The sequence below is a fragment of the Homo sapiens genome, chromosome 1 (genome assembly GCF_000001405.40).
Source record: "Homo sapiens chromosome 1, GRCh38.p14 Primary Assembly".
In the NCBI taxonomy this organism is placed as follows: domain Eukaryota; kingdom Metazoa; phylum Chordata; class Mammalia; order Primates; family Hominidae; genus Homo; species Homo sapiens.
Genome location: NC_000001.11, coordinates 26,849,164 through 26,875,428, shown reverse-complemented (window position 1 = coordinate 26,875,428; position 26,265 = coordinate 26,849,164). Strand labels below are relative to the sequence as shown.

At 53.3% G+C, this 26,265-nt stretch overlaps 2 protein-coding genes across 2 annotated transcripts in view, besides 11 other annotated features; both read right to left on the bottom strand.

Annotated features, from left to right (window-relative positions):
- Positions 56-555: an enhancer, noted in NCBI's record as "H3K27ac hESC enhancer chr1:27201365-27201864 (GRCh37/hg19 assembly coordinates)". NCBI's record gives its function as "activates a minimal SCP1, AML or CMV promoter by ChIP-STARR-seq in naive H9 embryonic stem cells {active_cell/tissue: H9 hESC(naive)}" and the evidence as "EXISTENCE:reporter gene assay evidence [ECO:0000049][PMID:30033119]".
- Positions 2,382-3,581: an enhancer, noted in NCBI's record as "P300/CBP strongly-dependent group 1 enhancer chr1:27198339-27199538 (GRCh37/hg19 assembly coordinates)". NCBI's record gives its function as "activates an origin of replication core promoter dependent on BRD2, BRD4, P300/CBP, MED14 and CDK7 cofactors, with strong dependence on P300/CBP, by STARR-seq in HCT116 cells {active_cell/tissue: HCT116}" and the evidence as "EXISTENCE:reporter gene assay evidence [ECO:0000049][PMID:35650434]".
- Positions 6,076-6,234: a silencer, noted in NCBI's record as "fragment chr1:27195686-27195844 (GRCh37/hg19 assembly coordinates)". NCBI's record gives its function as "represses an EF-1alpha promoter that drives an FKBP-Casp9 reporter gene in an ReSE screen in HepG2 liver carcinoma cells {active_cell/tissue: HepG2}" and the evidence as "EXISTENCE:reporter gene assay evidence [ECO:0000049][PMID:32094911]".
- Positions 9,922-10,231: an enhancer, noted in NCBI's record as "active region_527". NCBI's record gives its function as "activates an Ori minimal core promoter by ATAC-STARR-seq in GM12878 lymphoblastoid cells {active_cell/tissue: GM12878}" and the evidence as "EXISTENCE:reporter gene assay evidence [ECO:0000049][PMID:35858748]".
- Positions 10,442-10,571: an enhancer, noted in NCBI's record as "active region_526". NCBI's record gives its function as "activates an Ori minimal core promoter by ATAC-STARR-seq in GM12878 lymphoblastoid cells {active_cell/tissue: GM12878}" and the evidence as "EXISTENCE:reporter gene assay evidence [ECO:0000049][PMID:35858748]".
- On the bottom strand, positions 10,973-12,280 carry SFN (stratifin). The gene has a single exon (NM_006142.5). It carries the CDS (start codon positions 12,214-12,216, stop codon positions 11,470-11,472), a length of 747 nt encoding a protein of 248 aa, NP_006133.1. The 5' UTR covers positions 12,217-12,280; the 3' UTR covers positions 10,973-11,469.
- Positions 11,716-12,595: an enhancer, noted in NCBI's record as "H3K4me1 hESC enhancer chr1:27189325-27190204 (GRCh37/hg19 assembly coordinates)". NCBI's record gives its function as "activates a minimal SCP1, AML or CMV promoter by ChIP-STARR-seq in primed H9 embryonic stem cells {active_cell/tissue: H9 hESC(primed)}" and the evidence as "EXISTENCE:reporter gene assay evidence [ECO:0000049][PMID:30033119]".
- Positions 11,716-12,614: a biological region, named in NCBI's record as "H3K4me1 hESC enhancer GRCh37_chr1:27189325-27190204".
- Positions 12,465-12,614: a silencer, noted in NCBI's record as "silent region_495". NCBI's record gives its function as "represses an Ori minimal core promoter by ATAC-STARR-seq in GM12878 lymphoblastoid cells {active_cell/tissue: GM12878}" and the evidence as "EXISTENCE:reporter gene assay evidence [ECO:0000049][PMID:35858748]".
- The window catches only part of ZDHHC18 (zDHHC palmitoyltransferase 18), a 30,917-nt gene continuing 22,476 nt past the window's right edge, over positions 17,825-26,265 (bottom strand). Inside the window, exons 4-8 of the mRNA NM_032283.3 lie at positions 24,991-25,128; positions 24,823-24,871; positions 24,198-24,300; positions 22,564-22,676; positions 17,825-21,703 (exon numbers count right to left, since the gene is read on the bottom strand). Of these exons, the coding sequence (NP_115659.1) occupies positions 21,586-21,703; positions 22,564-22,676; positions 24,198-24,300; positions 24,823-24,871; positions 24,991-25,128 (521 nt within the window). The 3' untranslated portion in view covers positions 17,825-21,585. The remainder of the gene's footprint in view (positions 21,704-22,563; positions 22,677-24,197; positions 24,301-24,822; positions 24,872-24,990; positions 25,129-26,265) is intronic.
- Positions 20,277-20,449: a silencer, noted in NCBI's record as "fragment chr1:27181471-27181643 (GRCh37/hg19 assembly coordinates)". NCBI's record gives its function as "represses an EF-1alpha promoter that drives an FKBP-Casp9 reporter gene in an ReSE screen in K562 erythroleukemia cells {active_cell/tissue: K562}" and the evidence as "EXISTENCE:reporter gene assay evidence [ECO:0000049][PMID:32094911]".
- Positions 21,696-22,197: an enhancer, noted in NCBI's record as "H3K27ac hESC enhancer chr1:27179723-27180224 (GRCh37/hg19 assembly coordinates)". NCBI's record gives its function as "activates a minimal SCP1, AML or CMV promoter by ChIP-STARR-seq in naive H9 embryonic stem cells {active_cell/tissue: H9 hESC(naive)}" and the evidence as "EXISTENCE:reporter gene assay evidence [ECO:0000049][PMID:30033119]".
- Positions 22,022-22,081: a silencer, noted in NCBI's record as "silent region_494". NCBI's record gives its function as "represses an Ori minimal core promoter by ATAC-STARR-seq in GM12878 lymphoblastoid cells {active_cell/tissue: GM12878}" and the evidence as "EXISTENCE:reporter gene assay evidence [ECO:0000049][PMID:35858748]".

Genomic DNA, 26,265 nt, shown 5'->3' with positions numbered 1-26,265 from the left:
CCTTCCTGGTCATCCCTACTAACCACTGACATTAGGTTATATGCATTTCTTGGCTCTGAACTGGGAACCTCAACAATTAGAAGACAGTGTAGAATTGGAAGAACTTAGCAGGGACCACAGGTAATTGGAAAGGTTTCCAGCCTGACAAAGAGGCTTAGGCATGAGGGTGAGGCCCTAAAGCCCACAGAGCTGAAGCACATCCAGTCTGCCTGGATTAGCAAAATGCTCACCCGCTGGTGGCTGAGAATATAGGAAGTATGGTCCCATTAGGATCTGTGGGAAAGAGAAAGGGAAGGCCGATTTGAGGAATTCTCTGTCCCTTTCTCAAGAATCCTGAGGGGGGAGGGGAGTGGCTTCAGACCCACCCAAGCACTATTAAGGCCCTCGCCAATTTTGAAAGCAGTGAAGAGGCCCAATTATCCCGGAATCCTGGAGGGAAATTCTCTAGCAAAACACTAGTCCCCTCCTCTCTCTCTTCTCTTGTCTCTGGCTTTTGAGTCTTTACTTACCCAGCCTGATCTGGGCCATTCACTCTCTTTTCTTGTCCCGTTTAGAAGGAGTTGCAGCACATACCTCCATGGCATCAGGCCTGCTAAAGATGTGGAAACCTGTGTCCCTCATTTCAAGCCCAGTGTGACCTTTTCCAGCCAGGGAGCTAACTCCAGGCAGCCCCAGAAGCCCAGGTGTCTAGATGGGCCAAGACAGGGGCTGTGACAAGATGGGGTGGGGATTTAGGGGCCAATTGAGGTGGAAAAAAGACAGTGAAAACAAGTAAAAAATGACAGTATTGGTAAATTGCTCTGGATGAGAATGCACAGCGAAGGTTGTTTTTTTCTCCTCATTCTAAAACTCTGAAGCAGTTGTGGAGGAGGGACATGAGAGGCCCATTCACAGCCATGCCAAATAAACGTGAATTTTTTTTTTGAGACAGAATCTTGCACTGTTGCCCAAGCTCACTGCAACCTCCACCTTCCAGGCTCAAGCCATCTCCCACCTCAGCCTACTGTGTAGCTGGGACTGTAGGCCCATGCCACCATGCCTGACTAATTTTTGTATTTTTTGTAGAGATGGGGTTTCGTCATCTTGCCCAGGCTGGTCTCGAACTCCTGAGCTCAAGCTATCCTCCTGCCTCAGCCTCCTAGAGTGCTGGGATTACAGGCATGAGCACCCGGCCAAATGTGAAGTCTAATGCAGTGTGCTTGCCATGTCAATGTAGCTTCCAGGAATGTCCCCTAGTGCCTCCCTTTGCACTGAATTGTCACCTCCAAGTTCTTCCTATATTTAATCCTGGAGCCTCCACATTGTGGAGTCACAGAAACAGCAAAGAACGGAGACTGGGACATGGGTTAAGATTTCCCTTGGCCGGGCGCGGTGGCTCACGCCTGTAATCCCAGCACTTTGGGAGGCCGAGGCGGGTGGATCATGAGGTCAGGAGATCGAGACCATCCTGGCTAACAAGGTGAAACCCCGTCTCTACTAAAAAATACAAAAAATTAGCCGGGCGCGGTGGCGGGCGCCTGTAGTCCCAGCTACTCGGGAGGCTGAGGCAGGAGAATGGCGTGAACCCGGGAAGCGGAGCTTGCAGTGAGCCGAGATTGCGCCACTGCAGTCCACAGTCCGGCCTGGGTGACAGAGTGAGACTCCGTCTCAAAAAAAAAAAAAAAAAAAAAAAAAAAAAAAAAAGATTTCCCTCAACTCATAAATCATATAATCTCAGTAATCTCAGAGGTCACATAATTTCTTTTTAGTAGAGACGGGGTCTCACTATGTTGCCCAGGCTAGTCTCCAATTCCTGGGCTCCAGCAATCTGCCTGCCTTGGCCTCCCAAAGTGCTGGGATTACAGGCATGAGCCACCTCACCTGGTCACATAATCTTTTTTGAGATGAAAGTTTCACATAATTTTTTTTGAGCTAAAAGTCATTCCTCTCTACAGTCAGACAAGGAAATCTCAGATTAGCTTTACTCTAGAGGAGAAAAGGGAGAGAATGTCTCCCTGCCTTCCTTCTTTCAACAAATATTTCTTTAATACCATAATATGTATTCAATGCTGTATCTAGCCCCACCGATTTGAAGACATGATGCTTTTCGAGTCCTGGATTTTTTTTTTTTTTTTTTAGGCCAAGTTGTGCTGTGTCACCCAGGCTGGAGTGCTGTGATGCTATCTATCTCAGCTCACTGCAACCTCTGCCTCCCAGATTCAAGCAATTCTCCTGCCTCAGCCTCCCTAGTAGCTGGGATTACAGGCACCTGCCACCACACCTGGCAAATTTTTGTATTTTTAGTAGAGACCAGGTTTCACCATCTTGGCCAGGTTGTTCTTGAACTCCTGACCTCATGATCCACCTGCCTCGGCCTCCCAAAGTGCTGGGATTACAGGCGTGAGCCACTGTGCCCAGCCCAGAGTCCTGGATTTTACTCTTTTATTTCTTTTTTTTTTTCCAAGACAGAGTCTTGCTCTGTCGCCCAGGCTGGAGTAGTGCAGTGGCGAGATCTCGGCTCACTGCAAGCTCCGTCTCCCAGGTTCATGCCGTTCTCCTGCCTCAGCCTCCCGAGTAGCTGAGACTACAGGCGCCCGCCACCACACCCAGCTAATTTTTTTTTGTATTTTTAGTAGAGACAGGGTTTCACCATGTTGACCAGGATGGTCTCGATCTCCTGACCTCGTGATCTGCCCACCTCGGCCTCCCAAAGTGCTGGGATTACAGGCGTGAGCCACCACGCCGGGCCCTTACTCTTTTATTTCTAGACAAAGGGTTAAATTTCCCAGAGAGCTGTAAGGAGAAGATTGGGTGGAGATGAGAGATGAATCAGCCTCTGACACCCCCAGGGTGACATACCTGTCTGCTGCCCCCACAGACATTCCTGGCTCCTGACTCAGTGGGTAGGTGGGACTAGGGGGATTCTGAGAGGAGGGGGACCTTCCTTGTAGAAACCTGCCTTTTCCACTCCCCACACAGCAGGGATGAGGTGGACCCTGTGAAGAGGGTGAAGAATTTAAAGGAACTAAGAGTGGAATCAGGTTAAGAGAACCTAAACTTGGTGAATGAGCCTGGAAATTGGTCCAGTTCACAGTCTTCTCATTTAAGACAATTATTTTCTGCCAGAGACTAGGGTGGAATTAGATTGACAGGAGAGCAAGGCGGCTTTCTTTTAATTTTATTTATTTTTTGGAGACAAGAGTCTTGCTCTGTTGCCCAGGCTGGAGTACAGTGGTGCAATCTCAGCTCACTGCAACCTCTGCCTTCTGGTTCAAGAGATTCTCCTGCCTCAGCTTCCCAAGTAGCTGGCACTACAGGTGCATGCCACCATGCCTAGCTAATTTTTGTATTTTTAGTAGAGATGGGATTTCACCATGTTGGCCATGCTAGTCTCGAACTCCTAACCTTAAGTGATCTGCCCGCCTCAGCCTCCCAAAGTGCTGGGATTACAGGCGTGAGCCACCACACCCAGCCAGAAGAAGGCTTTCTTGATTCTTAGAAAGTCTAAGATAGGAGCAGGGCACCATAACATAATGTAGTTAGTTTGGGCTTTTTTGTTTGTTTTGTTTTGTTTTGAGACAGAGTCTTGCTCTTGTTGCCCAGGCTGGAGTGCAATGGTGCAATCTCGGCTCACTGCAACCTCTGCCTCTCGGGTTCAAGCGACTCTCCTGCCTCAGCCTCCCGAGTAGCTGGGATTACAGGTGCCCACCATCACACTCAGCTAATTTTTTGTATTATTATTTTTTTTTTACACGGAGTTTTGCTCTCGTTGCTCAGACTGGAGTGCAATGGCACAATCTCGGCTCACTACAACCTCCGCCTCCTGGGTTCAGGTGATTCTCCTGCCTCAGCCTCCCAAGTAGCTGGGATTGCAGGTGTGAGCCACTGCGCCCGGCCGCCATTTTTTGAATTTTTTAGTAAAGATGGAGTTTCACCATGTTGGCCAGGCTGGTCTCGAACTCCTGACTTCAGGTGATCCACATACCTCGGCCCCCAAAGTGTTGGGATTACAGGTGTGAGCCACAGCACCTGGCCAAATGTAGATACTTTTTAACTGGTGAAACTCTAATATACGAAACTGACATATGTGTGGCTGTTTTGGCCAAAGTATACAGAAACGGGAAACTGACCACTCGGCTCCTGCCCCATGGCAGCTTCTGGGAAACCACCTGAACACAGTTTGAAAACAGCTATTGTAGTTTAAAAAACATGGGAATGGCTGGGCGCGGTCTCATGCCTGTAATCGCAGCACTTTGGGAGGCTGAGGCAGGCGGATCACCTGACGTCAGTAGGTTGAGACCAGCCTGATCAATATGGTGAAACCCTGTCTCTAAAAAAAAAAAATTAGCTGGGTGTGGTGTCACGCACCTGTAATCCCAGCTACTTGGGAGGCTGAGACAGGAGAATCACTTAAACCCAGGAGGCAGAGGTTGCAGTGAGCCGAGATGGCGCCACTGAACTCCAGCCTGGGCAACAGAGCGAGACTCCGTCTGAAAAAAAAAAAAAAATCATGGGACTTGGGCCAGGCATGGTGGCTCACGCCTGTAATCCTAGCACTTTGGGAGTCCGAGGTAGGCGAGTTGCCTGAGCTCAGGAGTTTGAGACCAGCCTGGGCAACACGGTGAAACCCCATCTCTACTAAAATACAAAAAATTAGCCGGGCGTGATGGCATGTGCCTGTAGTCCCAGCTACTCGGGAGGCTGAGGCAGGAGAATTGCTTGAACCCAGGAGGCAGAGGTTGCAGTGAGCCAAGATTGTCTCACTGCACTTCAGCTTGGGTGACAGAGCAAGACTCCGTCTCCAAAAAAAAGAAAATCATGGGGCTTGGAGTCAGACCCTGTTCCACTCCCCAGCACCAGCACATGAGTAGTTGTATAACCTTGGTTATTAGGTTATTTAGCTGCTCTGAGCTTCAGTCTTTTTATTTGCAAAACAAAGGTAATAACATGTATTACTGTGAGGATTAAGGTATGAAACTGCCTGACACACACTTATCATGCCTGCTGCTGCTGCTACCATACTCTGTTCTCTAGCAAGAAGCAGAAATGGGACACTGTCGGTCAGAAGAGCAAGCCTTGATGCAAGCCTCTGGACATCTGGACGTGTGTGTGTGTGACAGAGAGAGAGAGAGAGAGAGAGAGATGGAGGCAGGGAAGAGTACCTTGCTTTTTCTGGAAGGAGCCACAGTGGCCTTGGCCTTGCTAGGGTGCCTGGCTGGTTGTGAGAAGGCAATCTTGGCCTCCATCACCTACTCCTGTGGATTCTAAGAGCCATTTGGAAGTAACTATGCATAACAGAGGTAAGAGTAGATATCTTCACTCGGTAATTTTAGGTTGCAGATTTTCTCCATACCATTCAAATTCTTGGGAGGAGAAGATATTTGCAAGAGCTGGGCCTCCATTTTCTGGGGGATAATCTGGCAATATAGAAAAGATAAGGCTGAGGTCCCTTGAATCTGTGTGAGCCCAATCTCTGGACAGCCCTTCCTCATCCCAGGACCGGCTGTATTTCCATTTCCATCATGATTTGGAACTAATCCTGGTTACCAGGCATTTGGAAGGGTAGTTTTAAATCAAGTTCTGGCCAGGTGCAGTAGCTCACACCTGTAATCCCAACACTTTAGGAGGCTGAGGCTGGAGAATCACCTGAGGCCAGGAGTTCAAGACCAACCTGGACAACATAGCGAGAACCTGTCTCTACAGTAATTTTTTTTTTTTTAGACAGAGTCTCGCTCTGTCACCAAGGCTGGAGTGCAGTGGCCGCACTCATGGCTCACTGCAAGCTCCGCCTCCTGGGTTCACGCCATTCTCCTGCCTCAGCCTCACGAGTAGCTGGGACTATAGGCTCCCGCCACCACGCCCGGCTAATTTTTTGTATTTTTAGTAGAGATGAGGTTTCACCACGTTGGTCAGGCTGGTCTCGAACTCCTGACCTCAGGTGATCCACCCGCCTCGGCTTCCCAAAGTGCTGGAGTTACAGCTGTGAGCCACCGCACCCACCGTTTTTTTGTTTGTTTGTTTGTTTGTTTGTTTGTTTTTTTTGAGATGGAGTCTCGCTCTGTCGCCCAGGCTGGAGTGCAGTGGTGGGATCTCCACTCACTGCAAGCTCCGCACCCCCAGGGTTCATGCCATTCTCCTGCCTCAGCCTCCCGAGTAGCTGGGACTACAGGTGCCCACCACCACGCCTGGCTAATTTTTTTGTATTTTTAGTAGAGACGGGGTTTCACAGTGTTCGCCAGGATGGTCTCGATCTCCTGACCTCGTGATCCGCCCGCCTTGGCCTCCCAAAGTGCTGGGATTACAGGCGTGAGCCACTGCCCCCGGCCTTTTTTTTTTTTTTTTTTTTTTTTGAGAGAGAGTCTCGCTCTGTCACCCAGGCTGCAGTGGCAGTGGCGCAATCTTGGCTCACTGCAACCTCTGCCTCCCACTTTCAAACGATTCTCCCGCCTCAGCCTCCTGAGTAGCTGGGACTACAGGCGCATGCCGCCACACCTGGCTAATTTTTGTATTTTTAGTAGAGACGGGGTTTTGCCATATTTGCCAGGATGGCCTTGAACTTCAGGCCTCAAGGGATCTGCCTGCCTCGCCCTCCAAAGTGCTGAGATTACAGGCATGAGCCACTGTGCCTGGCCTTGAAATTGTTCAAATATCAATTCTAGGCCAGGAAAAGCTGGCAAGAAGTGTTCACCAAGAGATTAAAAAAAAAGTCATGGACAAAAAGGTTTGGGATCCTTGTGGTCAGAACCTGGTGCCTAATATGTACAACTATTATGTACCCATAAAAACTAAACATTAAAAAATGAAAAGAGCCTGGACGCGGTGGCTCACGCCTGTAATCCCAGCAGTTTGGGAGGCTGAGGTGGGTGGATTGCTTGAGCTGAGGCGTTCAAGACCCACCTGGGCAACATAGTGAAATTCTGTCTCTACAAAAATTAGCTGGGTGTGGTGGTGCACACCTGTAGTCTCAGCTACTTGAGGGGCTGAGGTGGGAGGATAGCTTGAACCTGGGAGGTCAGCTTCAACCTGGGAGGTCAAGGCTGCAGTGAGCCGAGATCGTGGCACTGCACTCCAGCCTGGGTGACAAAGTGAGACCCTGTCTCAAAAAAAAAAAAAAAAAGAGAAAAGAAAAGAAGAAAGGAGGGAGAGAGAGAGAGAGAGAGAGAGAGAGAGAGAGAGAGAGAGAGAGAGAGAGAGAGAGAGAAAAGAAAATAAAAGAAGCTGGTGCCTAAGCCAGCTCACATTTAGCCCTGGTAAGCATCTGATTTAGAGATATTCCAATGCACAGCATCTGGTTTAAAATCCTTACACCGACACACTACCTTAGGGCAGCTCACTTCTCCCCATATGGGACAACCACGAGTGGTCCAGAGCTAACAGACAAAAGTCAGAGGCTGAGAGAAAAGAAAGAAGTTCCTTTCCCAGGATGTAGCCCATTAAGAGAGAGTCACCAGACCTGTCTGGTGAGAGAAATCAGGTCACCTCTAGATCTGAGTGGAGTTACTTGCCCTGCCTAGAGTCCCTGGTTTGGAGCCTTGAAATCTGACACACCTCTAGGAAAGGAAGGGAGAAAACAGGGGACCCAGAAGGCATCAGAGTGGTCCTGCCGGCTTCCCCTGTAGAAGCAGGAGTTCTGACAAAAACCCTTCAGTTTTGAGTCCTATTGGTGTGGCCAAGCTTGGACCCTGGGCTTAGCTCTCTCCATCTTGCCAGGTGGAAGAGTGACCACCTGATGTGAGGGCAGCATTCTCAGGGGGCTCAGCAGGCGTGCAGGTCAGCTTTGGCAATAAGGCTGCCCCTCAGGACTGGGCCTGCCTCATGATTCTGCTTTAGGCATAAAAATGCTGGCCAAATCCTAGACTTATTGAAGCTGGAAGGATTCGTTAATAGCTGACATTTGAGGCTGGGTGAGGTGGCACAAGCCTGTAACCCTAGCACTTTGGGAAGCTGAGGCAGGAGGATCGCTTGAGCCCAGGAGTTTGAGACCAGTCTGGCCAACATGGTGAAACCTTGTCTCTACTAAAAATAAAATAAAAAATTAGCTGGGTGCGGTGGCAGGCACCTATAGTCCCAGCTACCAGGAGGCTGAGGTGGGAGGATTGCTTGAGACCAAAAGCCACTGTCACGCCTGGGGTGACAGAGCCAGACCCTGTCTCAAAAATAAAAAATAAAAAATAAATAAAAAATAGGCCGGGTGTGGTGGCTCACGCCTGTAATCCCAGCACTTTGGGAGGCCAAGGTGGGTGGATCACGAGGTCAGGAGTTCGAGACCAGCCTGACCAACATGGTGAAACCCCCGTCTCTACTAAAAATACAAAAAATTAGCTGGACATGCTGGTGCATGCCTGTAATCCCAGCTACTAAGGAGGCTGAGGCAGGAGAATCGCTTGAACCCAGGAGGCAGAGGTTGCAGTGAGCCGAGATTGCACCACTGCACTCCAGCCTGGGCAACAGAGCGAGACTCCATATAAAAATAAACAAAATAGGCCGGGCGCGGTGGCTCACGCCTGTAATCCCAGCACTTTGGGAGGCCGAGACGGGCGGATCACGAGGTCAGGAGATCGAGACCATCCTGGCTAACACGGTGAAACCCCGTCTCTACTAAAAATACAAAAATTAGCCGGGCATGGTGGCGCGCGCCTGTAGTCCCAGCTACACGGGAGGCTGAGGCAGGAGAATGGCGTGAACCCGGGAGGCGGAGCTTGCAGTGAGTCGAGATCGCGCCACTGCACTCCAGCCTGGGCGACAGAGCGAAACTCCGTCTCAAAAAAAAATAAAAATAAAAATAAAAATAAAAATAAAAAAAATAAAAAATTAGCTGGGTGTGGTGGCAGGCCCCTGTAGTCCCAGCTACTAGGAGGCTGAAGTGGGAGGATCGCTTGAGACCAGAAGCTCGAGTTTGCTGTGAGCTGAGATCACGCCACTGTCGCACCTGGGTGACAGAGCCAGACCCTGTCTCAAAAAAAAAAAAAAAAAAAAAAAAGTCCTGGCGCAGTGGCTCACTCCTGTAATCCCAGCACTTTGGGAGGCCGAGGCAGGCGGATCACCTGAGGTCAGGAGATTGAGACCAGCCTGGTTAATATGGTGAAACCCCGTCTCTACTAAAAATATAAGAAAACTAGCCAGGCTGGTGGCATGCACCTGTAATCGCAGCTACTTGGGAGGCTCAGGCAGGAGAATTGCTTGAACCCGGGAGGTGGAGGTTGCAGTGAGCCGAGATCGTGCCACTGAACTCCAGCCTGGGCGACAGAGCGAGAATCTGTCTTAAAAAAAAAAAAAAAGCTAACATTTGTTGAGTCTGTCCTATGGGTTACTTTACAGCAACTATAAAAGGAAGGTACTGTTTTTCAGTTCCCCTGTTTATAAATGAGGACACAAAGGTAAGCAAGATTAAGAGCCTTGGCCAAGGCAGGCTGGGAGTCAAACCCAGGCTGTCTGAGTCCAAAATCGCAAATTTTCTCTTTTTCTTGGGTGGGGGGACCGAGTCTCGCTCTGTCGCCCAGGCTGGAGTGCAGTGGCGTGATCTCGGCTCACTGCAAGCTCCGCCTCCTGGGCTCATGCCATTCTCCTACCTCAGCCTCCCGAGTAGCTGGTACTACAGGTGCCCGCCATCACTCCCGGCTAATTTTTTGTATTTTTAGTAGAGACGGGGTTTCATTGTGATAGCCAGGATGGCCTCGATCTCCTGACCTCGTGATACGCCCGCCTCGGCCTCCCAGAGTGCTGGGATTACAGGCGTGAGCCACCGCGCCCGGCCAAAACCGCCATTTTCACTCTTGTGTTAGCCTTTAGTCCAAGCCCCTTATGATACAAGAGGGAAACTGAGGCCCAGGGAGGTATAACGGCTTTTCCAAGGTCGCACAGCCAGCCAGGGACACAATCCAAGCCTCTCGGCGACAGGTCCAGGGCTGCTTGGATTTCGGAGTGTGGTGGGGGCATCTTGGCGGCCTTTTTCCAGCCAACCCCCGCGGCCGGCCCGGCCCAGGCCCAGCCGGGTGAGCTGATGACTCAACGGGCAAGCACTGCATTTTGCGATCCTGGCTCGTCCCGCTGCTCTAGAGGGTTCCCAGCTCTCGGGCCGGACGGGCGGCAACTTGTCTGAGTGAAACCGGGAAAGCTCCGCCCCTCGGCGCTCAGCGGGCGGCGGGGGCGCCTCTCAGTCAGTCAGCGAGTCGTGGTGTCCGCCAGGCCTGGCGGGCGGCGGGAAACTCGCCGCGCGCGTTCCGCCGCTCACTTTCCCATTGGCCAGTCAGGCCCCCGGGGCGGTACCCTGGGGCAGCTCCCTCCTGTGATTGGGCGGTATTGGCCTCGGGCCCCGCCTCCAGTCCAGGGCTGCGAAGGCGGGACGGAGCAAGGCGGCTGCAGGTTCCGGCGTGTTGCTGGCTGCAGAGAGCTCAGGCAGCGGGCTCGGTAGGCACAGCTCCCAGCGGCCCTTCCCACCCAGCTCGTCCTTCCTCCCCTTCAGCCCGTTTCCTTTTGTCTCCATCTCCGAACTCTGTGGGACGTGACCCTCTCCTAAGATCTAGGCTTTTTTGGCGGCGCTATACCCCTTCCTCAGATCGTACTCCCCTCCGCTGAGATCTGAGCCCTTGATGAAACTGTGACCCGCCTGCAAATCGGGTGCTCAGTGCCGCTCACTACTGCGGCGCTGTCCTTAGATCTCACGCCGGAGACTTCACTATTTCCTGCCCCGCTCCACCAGAGCTCGTCAGCCTCCCGCGCCGTGGCTCCCACTCACCTCCCCTCAGCCCGGCAGAGGAGCCACGGCGCCTCCTGTGGGTTCACCCGACCCTCCCGGTCCCGTCCAGTTTGACTGGGGCCGCCGTGATGGAGAGAGCCGGACCCCGGCCTCACCTGGACTCAAAGTCTTGCGTGCGGGCCACTGAGCCACCTAGGGAGTTCAGGGCCCTAACTCAGAGGTCCAAAGTCAGGGTCTCTAAGTCAGATTCCAGTCCCACTCCCAGCCCATCGCCAAGAACTGGAAGAGAGACAGGAGGAGTGTCACAGGGGAACTTTATTGAGAGGAAACATGGTCACACCCAGCAGACATGCTTTCCCTCAATCTCGGTCTTGCACTGGCGCGCGCGCACACACACACACACACACACACACACACACACACCCATCTCCAGCCCCTGCCACTGTCCAGTTCTCAGCCACAAGGCGGGACACTCCTCAATTCCTACGATCAGAGGCAGCAGGGGCAGGAGGGAGGCAAGAGGAGGGGAGAAGTAGCCTGGTCCTGGGGTCGGGAGGAAGCGGGTGCGGAGAGCAGGGGTGGGGGCATGACCAGTGGTTAGGTGCGCTCAACAGCTGCAAGAAGAGTGGGATCCCCAGCCCCAGGTGGCCTCAGCTCTGCCAGTCCCTCTCCACGGAGCCCTTTGGAGCAAGAACAGCGCCTAGGGGAGAAGGGTGGGGCCTCCCACCCCATACTAGTCCTCTCGGCAGGGTGGGGGACTGGAGGGGGCAGGGCGGGGCGGTGGCGGGCAACACTCAGCTCTGGGGCTCCTGGGGAGCCTCGCCCCCCTCTTCCCCGGCGTTGTCGGCCGTCCACAGTGTCAGGTTGTCTCGCAGCAGCTGCATGATGAGGGTGCTGTCTTTGTAGGAGTCCTCGCTGAGGGTGTGCAGATCAGCCATGGCCTCGTCGAAAGTGGTCTTGGCCAGAGAGATGGCCTCCTCGGGGCTGTTGGCGATCTCGTAGTGGAAGACGGAAAAGTTCAGGGCCAGGCCCAGGCGGATGGGGTTGGTGGGCGGCATCTCCTTCTTGCTGATGTCCATGGCCTCCTGGTAGGCTGACCGGGCTGAGTCAATGATGCGCTTCTTGTCGTCACCGGTGGCCACCTCGGCCAGGTAGCGGTAGTAGTCACCCTTCATCTTCAGGTAGAAGACCCGGCTCTCGGCGTCCCCGGCCTCCTTGATGAGGTGGCTGTCCAGCAGGCCCAGCACGGTGTCGCACACGCCCTGGAGCTCAGTCTCCACCTTCTCCCGGTACTCACGCACCTCGGGCCCCTTCTCCTCCGAGCCCTCCTCGTTGCTTTTCTGCTCAATACTGGACAGCACCCTCCAGGCAGCCCTCTGGCCGCCCACCACGTTCTTATAGGCTACTGAGAGCAGGTTTCGCTCTTCGCAGGAGAGCTCCTCGCCCTTCTCCACGGCGCCTTTCATGAAGGCTGCCATGTCCTCATAGCGTTCGGCCTGCTCTGCCAGCTTGGCCTTCTGGATCAGACTGGCTCTCTCCATGGCTCTGGGGACACACAGGCGGGCGGCGGGCTAACTGCTGCCTGGGACCAATGCCGGACTCTGTGTCTCTCCTGCTCTTGGCCTGCCTTTTGGCTGGGTGGCCAGGCCCAGAGAAGGGTGGGGAGGAGCAGGGGGCGGGACCAGGGCCCAAGACCTGCCTCCCTCTCCTCTCTTCCCCACACCCTTTCCGGCTCTGCAGTAAAGGTAAAAAGGCTGGGATGTGGGGGTGAATCATCAGAACAGTCAGCAGGAGAAATCTGGGCGTGGGCCCCACCTGCACTGGCACCTTTCCAGGCTCCAGGCTGCCCCCTCTTGTTCGGGGCTGGCATCACATGGCTGCCCACATCAGGAAACGGCTTCTCAAATCAGATCCACTTTCACAGTGCCCTTCCAGGGGCTAAGGACGGCTTTAGCCCCTGGCTGCTTCAGCCTCGACAGAGCCCATAAAGGTTCAGGAGGATGGGGTTCCTAATCCTGCCAGGTAACTTCCCCCCTTGGTTCAGGTGAGGATAACTCATGTTTAGGTAGGGCCATGGAGTTTCCCAAGCACTTTCATATTCACGATCGAATTTAATCCCCACCATGTCTCTGTGACACACACAGGACCATAGAGATGGGAACACTAAGTCTCAGAGAGGGGTGAGATTTGCTCAAAGTCACATAGCCACCAATTCCCTGAAACTCCTTTCTGCACCCTCTTCCTTTAGCTTTTCTCCCATTGAGGCCTCTGACCTATGAGCTCCAGACTGTGTTTGGAAGTGAGATCCAGGCTCCTTCTCAGTCTACCTGAAGATGGTTCCATCCTCCAGGCCTCATTCCCCCTCAGGGTCCCCTCTGAGCTCCCAGAATGCGCAGGTGGCAGCTTTCAGAGTGCCGCTTAATGAAGTGTTTAACAAGCAGCCTCTGAAGCTCCAGCCCAGCCTTTGTAATTAGTCACCCAGTAGGTTTGTTGGACACATTTCCCATCACTACACAATTTTCCCTTTCAAGTTGGTGGCCTGTTGCCACTTGTTTGAGGATTTACCCTCTGGCCCTCCACGCCAGGTCACCTGCCCTCTCCAAGCCACATGCCATCAGGTACCAGCGGGGCTCACAGAGGGTGGGGTCCAGCTCCCCGGCTGTCCCACTTTCCTGCCTGACTCAGACTGCTCTCTGTCTGAGGCTGGGAAGCAGTCCAGTTTGATCCCCCAGGGGGGACGCTAGCAACCTGGGGAGAGAGAGGACTGAGAAAGGGAGGTGGCAGTGACACATACCATTCTGTTTTATGGGGCAGCAATTCCAGCTACGTGATGCCTCCCCCAGCCTGTTTCTCAGAAGTTTACTTGTTCTTTCCTTTTTTTTTTTTTTAAATAGAGAGCAGATCTCACTACATTGCCCAGGCAGGTCTCAAACTCCTGGGCTCAAGCGATCCTCCTGCCTCAGCCTCCCAAAGTGCTGGGATTATGGGCATGAGCCACTGTGCCTGGCCTGTTCCTTCCTTTTGACCATTGCCCCATCTCTGACCCCTGGCAGAGTCCTCAGAGATGGAGACCTCTGTTGCCAACGTTCTTTCCCTGCTTGCCGGAGCCCTGGCCTCAAGTTTCATCAAGAGTTTCACCTAAGGGTGTTGGCATTGAGCCTATAGGGATGGATTCCTGCTTATCTGCCCCACCCATAGCCAAAGCTTAGATGGGGCTCAGAGGTAGGGCTCCCTTCACTGGGATTCTGCCGACCTAATAGTTGAGCCAGGATAATTTCACAGGCCTGTGTCTCCCCCAGCTACTCTGAGTGTCTGAACACTCATCTTCCCTCCTGGAGGGAGGCTTAGGCCAGAACTCTGGGGACCAAAGACGAGATCCTTCTCTTTGCCACAAGGAGGAGTAGGGACATGTCTGGGCTAATGCTACAGGGTTTCCAAGGAAGTAAAGGGGATTTTAAGTTTGACGTCCCAAAGATTTTGCTCAAATCAGAGAACTGACACAGAAAACAATAGGAACCACACTAAAATACCAACTTCTAGAGGGTATCTTGAGGTAGTGAGAGTGAGTGATTTTGCTTCCCTTTGATTTTCTTTCTTCTCAATTTCCTTTTTAGAGATAGGGTCTTACTCTGATGTCCAGGCTGAAGTACAGTGGTATGATCACAGCTCACTGCAGTCTCAACCTCCTTGGCCTCAGGTGATCCTCCTGCCTCAGCTTCCTAAGAATAAGGTGCTCACCACAACGCCCAGCTAATTTTTGTATTTTTTTGTAGAGACAGGGTCTCACCATGTTGCCCAGGCTGGTCTCGAACTTCTGGGTTCAAGCAATCCTCCTGCCTTGGCTTCCCAAAGTGCTGGGATTACAGGTGTGAGTCACTACACCTGGCCCTTTTGATTTTCTTATTCTCTCCAATTTATAAATAGTGAATATAGGTCGGACGCGGTGGCTCACGCCTGTCATCTCAGCACTTTGGGAGGCTGAGGTGGGTGGATCACAAGGTCAGGAGATCGAGACCATTCTGGCTAACCCAGGAAAACCCTGTCTCTACTAAAAATACAAAAAATTAGCCGGGCATGGTGGCACATGCCTGTAGTCCCAGCTACTCGGGAGGCTGAGGCAGGAGAATCGCTTGAACCCGGGAGGCGGAGCTTGCAGTGAGCCGAGATGGCGCCACTGCACTCCAGCCTGGGTGACAGAGCAAGACTCCGTCTCAAAACAAAACAACAACAAAAAAGTGAATATGTATTGTTTGTCTATGAGATACAGAATAGACTAGTATCTTTGGAATCAGACTGCCTAAATGTAATTCTTATAGCTGTTTGTGGCCTTGGCCAAGTGATTTAAGCTCTGTGAGCCTCAGTTCCTGTAACTATAAAATGGGACTTGTGAGGATTACACGAGTTAATGGAAAGCACAGTAGAATGGATGGCAACTATTATTATTATTATTTTCTTTTTTTTGAGACGGAGTTTCGCTCTTGTCACCCAGGCTGGAGTGTAGTGGCACAATCTCAGCTCACTGCAACCTCCACCTCCTGGGTTCAAGTGATTCTCCTGCCTCAGCCTCCCGAGTAGCTGGGATTACAAGGGTGCACCACCACACCCAGCTAATTTTTGTATTTTTTTTTTTTTTAAGTAGAGATGTGGTTTCACCATGTTGGCCAGGCTGGTCTCGAACAGCTGACCTCAAGTGATCCACCTGCCTCAGCCTTCCAAAGTGCTGAAATTATAGGCATAAGCCACCATGCCCGGCCAGATGACAACTATTATTATCATGTGAAAAAATCCCGTCAACTTTATTATGATCAACATATACTCACAAAGCACTAACATAGAGTTAGGTTCTGTGAAATGAGGAAGGACCCCAAGCCAGGACTTAGCCAAAGGCCAGACCTTCCCAGCTGGGTGTCTACAGGGGAGAGGAAGCAGTTTGCCCATAGCCTTCTCTCTCCAGATGGATGAATGGCCAGATGTGCTCAGCACTGCCTCCTTCCTCTCCATCTAGGACAGGCGTGTCCAATCTTTTGGCTTCCCTGGGCCACATTGGAAGAATTGTCTTGGGCCACACATAAAATATACCAACACTACCAATAACTGATGAGCTAAAAAAAAAAAAAAATTTGCAAAAAAATCTCATAATGTTTTAAGAAAGTTTACTAATTTGTGTTGGGCTGCATTCAAAGCCATTCTGGGCCACATGCAGCCTGTGGGCCGTGGGTTGGACAAGCTTGATCTAGGATATTCCTGTGACCTCAGCAGGTCCTGGAACCTCAGGGGCCTTCATTTGTACTAGTCATCCAGCCGGGGCTTCCCCAAGTCCTGGGGAAAGCTGGAGATCCCAGGACACTGGGAACCTGGAAGGCAGGCCCAGGAACTTTGGAGCCTGAGTCCAGGGAGGGACCATTTGCTTCCCGCCACTTAAGCCAGAGGACCTGGTGGTGGTTCACGCCCTCCGCATAGCCATGAGCAAGGGCAAGGAAGCCCCTTCATTCCTACTCCTCCCCTGCTGGAGCTCAGGGGTGCATCTGGGAGCCAGGCTGCCTGATACCTCCTGCCCGCTCTGGCCTGTTGATCCTGACTCAGTTCCTGTCTCAGGTACCTCCCTTTGCCTCTGGGCCTCCATTTCCCAAGTTCAGGAGCTCAGACGGGCAGGAGGCAGCAGGCCCTGGCAGGGCATGGAGCTCCACAGTCAGCTGTCTGAGTCAGCAGGACAGGAGCTGGGGTTGCAGCTCAAAGGGGCTTTCCTCATTCTGCCTGCTACCTCCCCACCCTCCTGTACAGCATCCATTCTACCAGCAGGCTCAGGGGCTCTGGCCCCATAGTCAACCAATCCTTCTTAGCTGGTAATAATAGGCTTTGAAGGGTTGTGATGAAGAAAGCAGCAACCATTTGCTCTCTACCTCCACTGAGGACAGAGGACAGGGCTCTGATAGCAGTGGGAGGGACACCAGGTAGATTCTAGAAAGAACTTCCTAAGAAATGTTTCTGTCTTGGAATGATCAAATTAAACAGGTGGCCAGAGGAAGCTCTAGCACCTTTTCCCACTGGCTAGTTGTGAACAAGAGTCCAGTTACCTAGCCAAGAGCTTACTTTACTGGTTACCTTTGGGAAGGGATATTAAATTATTTTAATTATTTTTGTGGCTCCTTGTGGAGCAGGGCGACCCCATAGGCAGTGTGCCCAGAGTAGCTTACATTACTTTTAAGTGATTCGTAGTTCTGATTCTTTTTCTCTTGAAGGCACTGCTGTTTAGAGTATCCCACATCTAAACCAGTCCAGTCTAGAGACAGTGCAGAATTTATGGAGAGAGAATGGAATGAGGTCAGAGTGTGGGACTGCATCCCAGCTCTGTTATAAGGCCTTGGGCAGGTCCCTTCCTGCCTCTGGGCTTCAATTTCTCCATCAGTAAAACAAGGAGGCTGGCCCAGATCAACTCTAAGCCCTCTACTGGCTATGACATTCTCTAATTTTAGGGTTTCTCCAAGATCTCATCCTCCCACCGCTGTATTCATTCCTTGGGTAGTGCAGATGGCTCAGAGCTCGGGGCAGAGATCAGGTTCCGATCTGGGATTTGCTGCTTTGCCAGCTGGGTGACCTTGGGCAGCTCCTGTTTCTTCCTTGAGTCTCAGTTCCCTCATCTGTAAAAAGGCTGACATCATCCTCCTCACAGGTTAAGATGAGAAAATGGGCCCGGGACTCGGCAAGCCCTTGCTGAACGGTAGCGGTAGCTATTTTTTTAGCCCATAGTACAGTGTATGCACATGTGTGTATCTTGATGTAGTGCAGCAACTGGGGAGAGAGAAGTTTCCATGAGATCGTTACCCTGGGCTGGGCTCAGTTCATGGGTATGGCAGTCCCAAACTGGAGTTAAACCCTCTGTCTCAGCCTGCACTGGGACCTATCAGAATCCAGAGGTCAGCTAAGGCTGGGTGGTGTCTGGAATTGAGACCAAGAGTTCTGGAGGGGCAGAGTGAAAAGGATGTCAGCCACTTTTCCTGTGTCCCTCCTGGCTTCGTTGTGCTTGTAAATCTCCAGAGCAGCACTGGCCAGCTGGAAGAAAGCTGGGAGCGAGGGGGAGCCATATGTTCCACACGCCCACTGCAGGTCCCATCCCTGGGCCCCAAAGTAAAGGCGCCACCAGACAGCCAATGGTATGGCAAGAAGAGGGGAATCTTTATTTTGGTTAAAAAAAAAAAAGGTACAGGATAGCAGACAAGCAGCCCCCAGCCCTGGGCTCAGCTGATTTTCCTTGGCTCAGCTCTTTCCTTTAGTCCCCTGAAGTGTATGGGGCTGTGCACGGCTAGCTTGGTCCCTCAGTGCCTAGAGCAAAGGAGGCACGCACCCTCCCTACATCCTACCTACTCTGGTGGAGGGTTGGGGGTGGGAGGTGGACAGGCCGTGGGAACAGTATCAAGCCAGTTGTGCTTAGAACAGTCACCAAACTTGTTCAGCAGCGTCATCCACCATCAACACCCCAGACAGCTCCTGAGGAAACCTGCTGGGCTTGACTATGGCTATGCCTGATCTGAGGGGGTGGAGGGGCAGGCTCTAAGGCCAGATTCCTAGTCTTGACACCTCACAAATCCGGGAAGGGGAAGTCAGTGGAGGAGAGAGGGAGCATATCAGCGTAGAGTCACATTATTGTGCTGATGGCTGCGTTATGGCTTTCTACACTCTGGCCGGCATGGAGCGGGAATGGGGCAAAGAGGCCAGCCCCTGCCCCCTATGGGGGTCCTAGAGAGCACACAGGCCGGGCAGGCTGGGGGGCAGACCCTGTAGGCACAGATGGTGGCAGATGGGCCACAGGTTAGGCAGGTGGAGGTGCCGGGTGCCTGGCTCCCCCCAGGCCATTCCTGGAGAGGCAGAGAGCAGCGGTCCTCAGGAGGTCCTTAAGCCCCCGCACACACTGGAGATCCCCGGCAGGACAGCAAAGAAGGAGAAGAGAGAGGGTTAGCAGGCCTGGGAGGAGGGAGGCGGCCTGCAGGGGCCCCGGTGGTGGGGAGAGGTGCTGCCACAGCACCTGCCTCTGCCCGAGAGAAGGGCCAAGGCTTAGGCAGCAGGCAATGAAGCAGGAGAGAAAACGGGCGGGTGAGAGAAAGCTCAGCGGGGACAGAAAGCCAGGACATAAGAGTGTTAGTGACCGGTGGCCCCTGCATACCAGGACCCCACCAGCACAGACCCAAGCACCTCAGGGCAGGTTCGCCATCCTCTCCCCAGCCTCACCCTCCACCTCCTCTTCCAGCTGGAGAGCTGCTCTGCGAGAAGCTACTTCCTCAGTCCACAATGGGGCTGGGCTTTTAGCCTTGCCCTATATCCCGATCCTTCTGCTTAGCGGGGAGTCCCTGGAGACCCTACCACCACCAGCACACACACCGCACCACACACCAGACAGATGGACGGGCTCCATGGGGTTGGCGAGGCATGCGATGAGGATGAGATGGTGTGTGAGGGGAGCGGGCAGTGCTGGCCGACAGGGAAGAAACGGTCTTACCAGCTAACCCTCTGCAAAGAGGCCTGTTAGCTCCCCTCAGGCTGTGCAGGAGATGGCAAAATCCTGACAGGTGTCCTCCTGAGGGAGATACCAGAGAGGTGGGCCAGTGTTATGAGTTGTCTGGCTGGGCCCTGGTGCCCAGGTTGGAGGTGGTAGCCAGGGAAGCTCCGGCTCTCAAACTGGAATCTACTGTCTCAAACATTTTCTTAGCTGGGCACTCATTGGGGATCGGAGTGGAAAGGCAGTAGGGAAGAAGAATTTGGGGGTCTCCAAGCCCCTGAGGCAGGGGAAGGTGGAGGGGACAAAGAGGGGACAGGATGGCCTCTTTTCACGTGCCCATGGGGGCTCAGCCGCAGCCCTCTCTGCTCTTCCTCCAGCGGACAGAGCTCCAGCCAGGTGAGGGAAAATGTAGCCAGATCACTGGGCTGCCTGCCTTCTCACAGTCTCCCCAGGAAAGAACCAAATTTGTCTGAAAGAACAGAGGGCTCCCAGTTGGGGCCTCAGCAAAGGAAAAGCAAACAAAAACCAAACCAAAGCAAAGCAACTCTTATAAACTGAAGTTTTATTACAAGCAGGAACAAAGAATACTGGCTTAAATAAAAGGTAGGTGGGAGCCCCCTCCTCTAGCCAGCTTCTTCCTCACCTCCCAGGGCCACTGCAGTGATGGCCCAGGGCCCTGAGGCTGGGGTGAAGCTGTTTCTCCCAGAGGGGACCCTCTGTGGCTGCCATTCCCAGCTGTCTGTGACCACTAGCCTCTGGAGTGAGAAGGGCAAGATCTGGGGACTTCCTATGTCACTTTCCAAGGGCTTCAGCCCACTTGAAGGGCCAAGGAGGGGGATGGTGGAACAATATCTATTTTGATAAGAAACTACAGCTCCCAGCAGAGGAGAAACATCCTCTGAGTTTCCGGCCCAGACTCAGGCCAACCTTCACTTGCCTCTTGGCCCACCCTGCACCTTCTTCCTTTTCTCTGGATGGAGGTCCCCGTTTGGCAGAAACACCTTGTCTTCCAGCTCCTGGCACTGGGTCCCATATTCAGAGCTCAGAGGAGGGGGTGTGGCTTGTAGGATGGCAGCCGCTCCCCAGAGCCATCACCCCACCCACCACGCCCAGGCTCAGCCTGTCTGGGCAGGTCCCAGCTGGAAGCCTCACCTGGGGGCTGGTGGGTAGGGCTGGGGGTAGAGTGGCAGAGTCCCCAGACACTGGCTGTCTGAAGTCCATAGAAGAAGGAAAGATAGGAGGCTGGGCTGAGCCCCAGTGGGAGCCCAGGGTTTTCTCGTGACCAGTGCACGTGCCCCCTGTCCCCTTGGCTCAGAGTGCTTCTGACACTCAAAGGGGATGGGGCAGGGGGCAGCCCAGGGGATATGGGAGCCAGCCACATTCATACAGGGCACACATGAACACACACACACATGCACACACACTCTCACTCATTCCAGCCAGAAGGTCTCTTGGAATAAACTTATTAAAACCAACCAGCCTTCTGATAACCCTTCACCTGGCACTACACAGACAGTAATGTGGCTGACATTTTCTCCTTCCATTTAAAAAAGACTATGTAGAAAAGAGGTCTATAAAATTGTGCAAAATACCCAGCATTAATAAACCCGTTTCAAGTATTGCCAGCATGAGCATAACCCACCCATGCCGGGACCTGGCTTGGGAGAGAAGTGGAGGGGCAGGCTGGGATCCCTTAAAGAGCTCTCCATGGGCAGGGGAAGGACCAGGCTCCCACTTCCACTGTGCTGCCCAGGAACTGCACAGGAGCTGAGGCTGTGGGTGCCTGGCTGGCTGATTTACCTTTGTCTGATACAGGCTGCCCCCACCCACCACCAACCCTGCCTTCTCTACTGGAGCCCCAACTCAATCCTATTGGCCAACTCCATAAAAAAGGGGGGAAAACCCCACCAAAAATCCCACAGAATAAAGGGAAATTATCACCAAGGGAATGAAGGAGCCCACAGACCAAAGCAGCCCATGGAGGCTTCCTCTCCACAGCCAGCTATCCAGAGCTGGCCACTCCTCAGTCCTGCTTCACCCTGAGGACCCTGGCTCAGCAAGGCCCAAGCAGTTCCCCCACCTGGGAGGCCTCACGCTCAGTTCACAGCCTCACTCACACAGGGCTCGCCCGGCACAGGCAAGGACTTGGTGTGGTCCCCTGGGTAGCCTCCAGAGGCTCTGGTCTCTCCTGGCACTGATCAGCTGGGGTACCTAGGGCCCAAGGCTGTGGGAACCTGGGTTTGGGGAGCAGAGGGCACAGCCACGGAACAGTTCAGGGAAAGCCACGCAGGATGGGAAATAAATATGAAAAGACTTGAGTCTTTGGCAGTTCTGCTTCCCTTGGATGGAATAGGGAGGGTCCCGGCAGGTGAGTGCGGAGGGTCAGACAGGCCAGCAGGTGGCAAGTACTGAGCCGTGGTCAGGGGTGGCCTCCTACCATGCTGGCATCAGGCTTGGCTCTGCAGGCTGGCTCATCGCTTCTGATGGGTGAGGGCAACACGGTGTCGGACTGCACAAATCCCCTCCGGTCAATTAGGCTTCCAAAACACAAGGGAGACACATGAGGGCTCTGCCCAACACTGAGGCTCTAGGCCAGGGGTTGGACGGCAGAGTCTATCTCAGCCAAGGAAAGGCCCAGGCTGAGAAAGGCTGAGGAAAGGAGAGCTGCTGCCCATCTGGGGGCCCAAGACTCTTACCTCTGGCAGGCCTCTCTCTGCCCTCTGGCCACCTGGCTTTTGGCCACAGAATTTATTCACTATTAATTCCAACTGGCCCACCTGTCTGGCTGCCAAGAAGCCAGGCTGCAGGTGAGGGAGGAAAGCAAGGATGAATAGGTATTTGATGACTATGAAATTCCTATGTTCCCTTCCCCTCTAGGCAGGCTGGGTGACAGGGATACTGGGTGGGGTAGGTGACATGACTGTGTGGGAATGACTTGTCTTAGCAGTACCCACAGCAATGTAATCCCCGTTCTGGAACTCTGGTGCCCCCTGGTGTCAGGATGAACAGGGAGTGACCCAGCAGGGCTGAGTCCCCAGGGTTCCTACTGCCAGGAGAGGATGGAGTCGCCACCCAGTCCAGGCAGTGGGCAACCGGAAGGGCAGTGTCATTCAAACATGGCTGAAACAGTCATGGTGGCTACCCCCGGGGAGTAGAATTACATGTCATATCCAATGCTCCTCTGTTTTACGTTTTGTACTTAATTTTTTTTTTCTACAATGAGCACGTGATTAAATAACAATTCTCCATGGAATTCCGTCACATGACAAATGCCCTCCAGGGGGTAGTGGACGGAGGGCATCTAGGGTGTAGGGGGAGGTCGGCTGATATCCAGGAACACTTTGATCACTGGCCAGGCATGGCCCTGTTACCCCTCTTCCGCACCCCGCTCACTTACCTGGGAGGTAGGGGGCCACAGAGCACAGCACAGCAGTTGGTGATAATACTTTTATGGCTGTAGGGGTTGACAGAGGCCTCACCGCCCCTCTTGCTGGACCACGAGCCTTTGATCTGCAAGCAGGAAGGAGGCCTAGGTCAAGTACCTCCTTTTGCTTCACTTTTCTAGGAGGCAGGTCTAGAGGCTGGGGACAACTGGACAATTCCGAAACCAATTCTGGTTACAGAAGGCGACATGTCTTTCATGTGGGCCATTCAATGAGAATGTGGGGGACCCCTGGCAGAGATCAGGAGGCCCCAAAGAGGAGATGACAGAGCAGAGCCCAAGAGAAGCATCCAGAGGAAACGTTTCGGATGACTCCTCCCTTCTCCGGCCAGCCACTTCTGAAGGAGGGTAGCGCAGGGGCACAGGGTGAGGGCTGACCTGCCTGTGAGCCCCGGCCCTGCTACTCACTGGCTACGTTACCTGGACAGATCACCACTTCGCTGAGCCTGAGTCCTCATTTGGAAAACAGGGAAAATAATACTAATTCTCAGATGACATTGCTAGGGCATTAGATTAATTCTTGCCAGATTCTCTAGCTCTGTGAAGTCAGCTATGGAAGGCACTGGAGAGTTTAGCAATAAAGAATACCTTGACTTTAACCTAGAGTTTTCTACACTTATTTGGCCACACACTCCTTTCTCTTTAACCTCTGGTAATGTGCTGCAGAACTGGCACCCAAGAAGCTACTGCGGGAGATACTGGCTGATGGCATTTCTGTTCTCACTGATCACCAGGCACACAACGCCCTGTCATGTGTGAAGTTTTGTTTCCCTGAATGAGAGGATGAGGTCTGGGAATGTATTTTCTGTTGGAGGATGGGTTGCTGGTAAGTATCAGATGGTGGGCCCTGAAACAGATGCTCTCATTTACTTTTTAGTGTTTGGAGGATGGGGAGGAGAAGTCAGGTCTGGCCTAGGACTGGGCACATCAAACATGCTTGTTGATGGCAGTCTGCAGGGTGGCAGGCAGGGAAGGTCAATGGAGCCCACTGGCCTGTGCCCTGTCTCCCCCAGGCGTGCATATTGAGAGGGGCAGCCAGGACAGGCCAGTGCCACCTTGAGAATAGTCACGGCTTTGCTGCTGACAGGGGCAGTGTGGAAGAGGGAGCGCATACCTGTGACTGGGCACCAACCTTGGCTCTGTCCCCTCCCAGCTGTGTGACCTCTCAGACATGGGACATGTCTCTCAGTCATCGAATGGGGAAAAAACATCCCTGTCCTTTCTGCCTCAGGCTTGGCAAAAGGACCCAAAGAAATGACGGGAACTGAAAGAATTCTGTAAGCGGTCATGTGCCAGCCAAACATCATGCGTGCTGTGGTGTGAGTACTGCCTCCTGCAGGGCTGTGGAGAAAAGCAACCTGGGACCTTGGGAGCCTGCACTGAGAGAATGAAGCATGTGGAGGTGTCAGAAGCCTGCATCGGACCCACCAGGGCCAAGCTGAGATGACTGGGAGGCATCTGGCTGCTTAAAAGGCATTATCCCAGCAGTCCGTGAGTCAGGACTGTGCTTGGCTGCCCCAGGCTCCCTCAGCCCTGCCTCCTCCTGAGGGCGCTGCCCTAGAATGAGGGGTGGCTCCAGGTTTACTCACGTCTTCATTAGTAGTCAGGTTGGAGGCGACGAGGTACGTGTGAAACCCTGAGAGGCCCAGAATGGACCAGATGGAGAAGAAGCAGATCACCAACTCCAGCACGGTGAGGGCAGTTAAGGACTTCAATGGGTGGAGGGTGGGGAGCCTCCCAGCCACACCTGGCCTGTCTCACCTATCCTTCCATGGAGCTGTTTCCCCAGAGAGCTGAGAAGTTTTGGAACCTTCCTGTGGCCCAGTCCCCACTTCTTAGCAGGATCACCTCCTGGGCCCCTCGGAAGGGTCAGGACCCCACTCAAGAGCCAGACAAGGTCAGGGTGATGGACGGCAGAGAAAACTGAGGGTTCCAATCACAAAGAGCCTTGGGCACGACACGGTCCAGGGAGCTTGGCATCTTAAGGGACATACTCTTTTCCAGGCCCCTGAAGACGAGGAACCCCCGGCCCCACAATGCCCCATTTAGGATCAGCTCTTGCCTGGGTGTGAACAGAAGAGCTGGCATGTTGGATTCTGGAGGACACATGTGAGCTGTACGCTGTTCCCTTCTGATTAGAGGATGAGGCAGGGCACCCACCCAGTGAAGGGACCTCAGTTCCCACTGGAGTGTCCTCTAGCTGACAAAGGATATCTTGCTGGTGTCTCCTTCAGAGTGGAGAGGAAGTTGCTTCCCTGAGCGCCTGGGGAGAAAGAAACAGGAGAGGACAAGCTCAGAGGGACAGTGACTGCTGAAGCTTGCTGACCCTTGAGCTTGCTGGCTGACCCCTTCCACTCCCCACTGCCCTCACCCACAACTCACGCAACGTCAGGTGGGTGACCACACAGGCGAAGATGAAGGCCGTCAGGAATGAGAGGGAGAGAATAAACGCGTAGAAGAAGCGATAGTTCCGTCTCCCCACACAGTTGCCCACCCAGGGGCAGTGATGGTCAAATCGTTCTGGACAAGGGCAAGGGGCGATGGGTTAGTGTGGGCTGGCCTGCAGCCAGCACAGGCATTTGGCGGCCTCACCCATGGCTGGGGCTTTCCTACCCCGTTCACTCTCGCAGCACCAGCTGGCTCCCAGGCCTTGGACACACCTGCCTCTGGTCCTTTGTGTACCAGTTCCCACTGCCTGATACATTCTCTCGTCTCTTTACCTGGTTAACTGGAACTTCTCCTTCGCGTCTCAGCTGCAAAGCCACCTCCTTAAGAAAGTCTCTTCCAATCCCAGACTAGGGGAGGGGGCCCCTGTTATCTGCCCCATCACTTCTCTTTTGTCACACTCTGCCCATGTGTGTTTTTATGCTTATTTATAATAACTGGATTGGCCAATCAGCCCTACTTGACTGTAAGCTCCATGGGCGAGGGGGGCTGTGCTGGTCTTACACCATGCTGACTCCCCAGGATCCAGAGCAGTGCCGGCACAAAGACTCACAAAAATACTTGTCACCTGGTCTACCATCCCAACCACATGCTAACAGTCAACAACCCGTCTCCTGCTCTAGGACTAGCGGCCCAGGGAGGGGCTGAGCTGCAATGGGGTTCACAGCCAGCCAGCATCACAGGCCAGGTCAAAGGGCTGAGCTCACCTGCACACTGTCCCCGGGGGTGGAGGCACACCCAGACTGGTAAAGAAAGTCCTTGTGGGAATGTGGGTCACAAGCCCATTGCAGGCCTCATGCCAAGGCCAGTGCCCTTTGCACGGCGTGGGCGGGGCAGCTCCTTGGGGATGAATGGTGCCCACTGAGTCACCCCCTTCACTGCATGCCGTCACGGGGGGGTGTTCCCTGCTGTTCTCTTGCTTAGGGAGTACTGAGCTGGCATGATGAGCTCACTGCCCTGGGAACTATGCACAGTCACTGTGGCTCAGCTCACCTGGGCCCTCTCATGCATTATTTCCCTTACAACACCCTCTCAGGGTGCCCATCAGAACTACACAGCCTCTGGAGAGCAGGGAGAGGGGACAAAACAACCACTGCAGGCAGCTGTAGGGTCAGGAGCCATTTCCAGTGGTGACATCCTCTGCACCTCATCAGCTTAAACGCCTCTGTTGCTAGATGCTTTTCCCTCTCAACTCTGGGAATCAGATCAAAG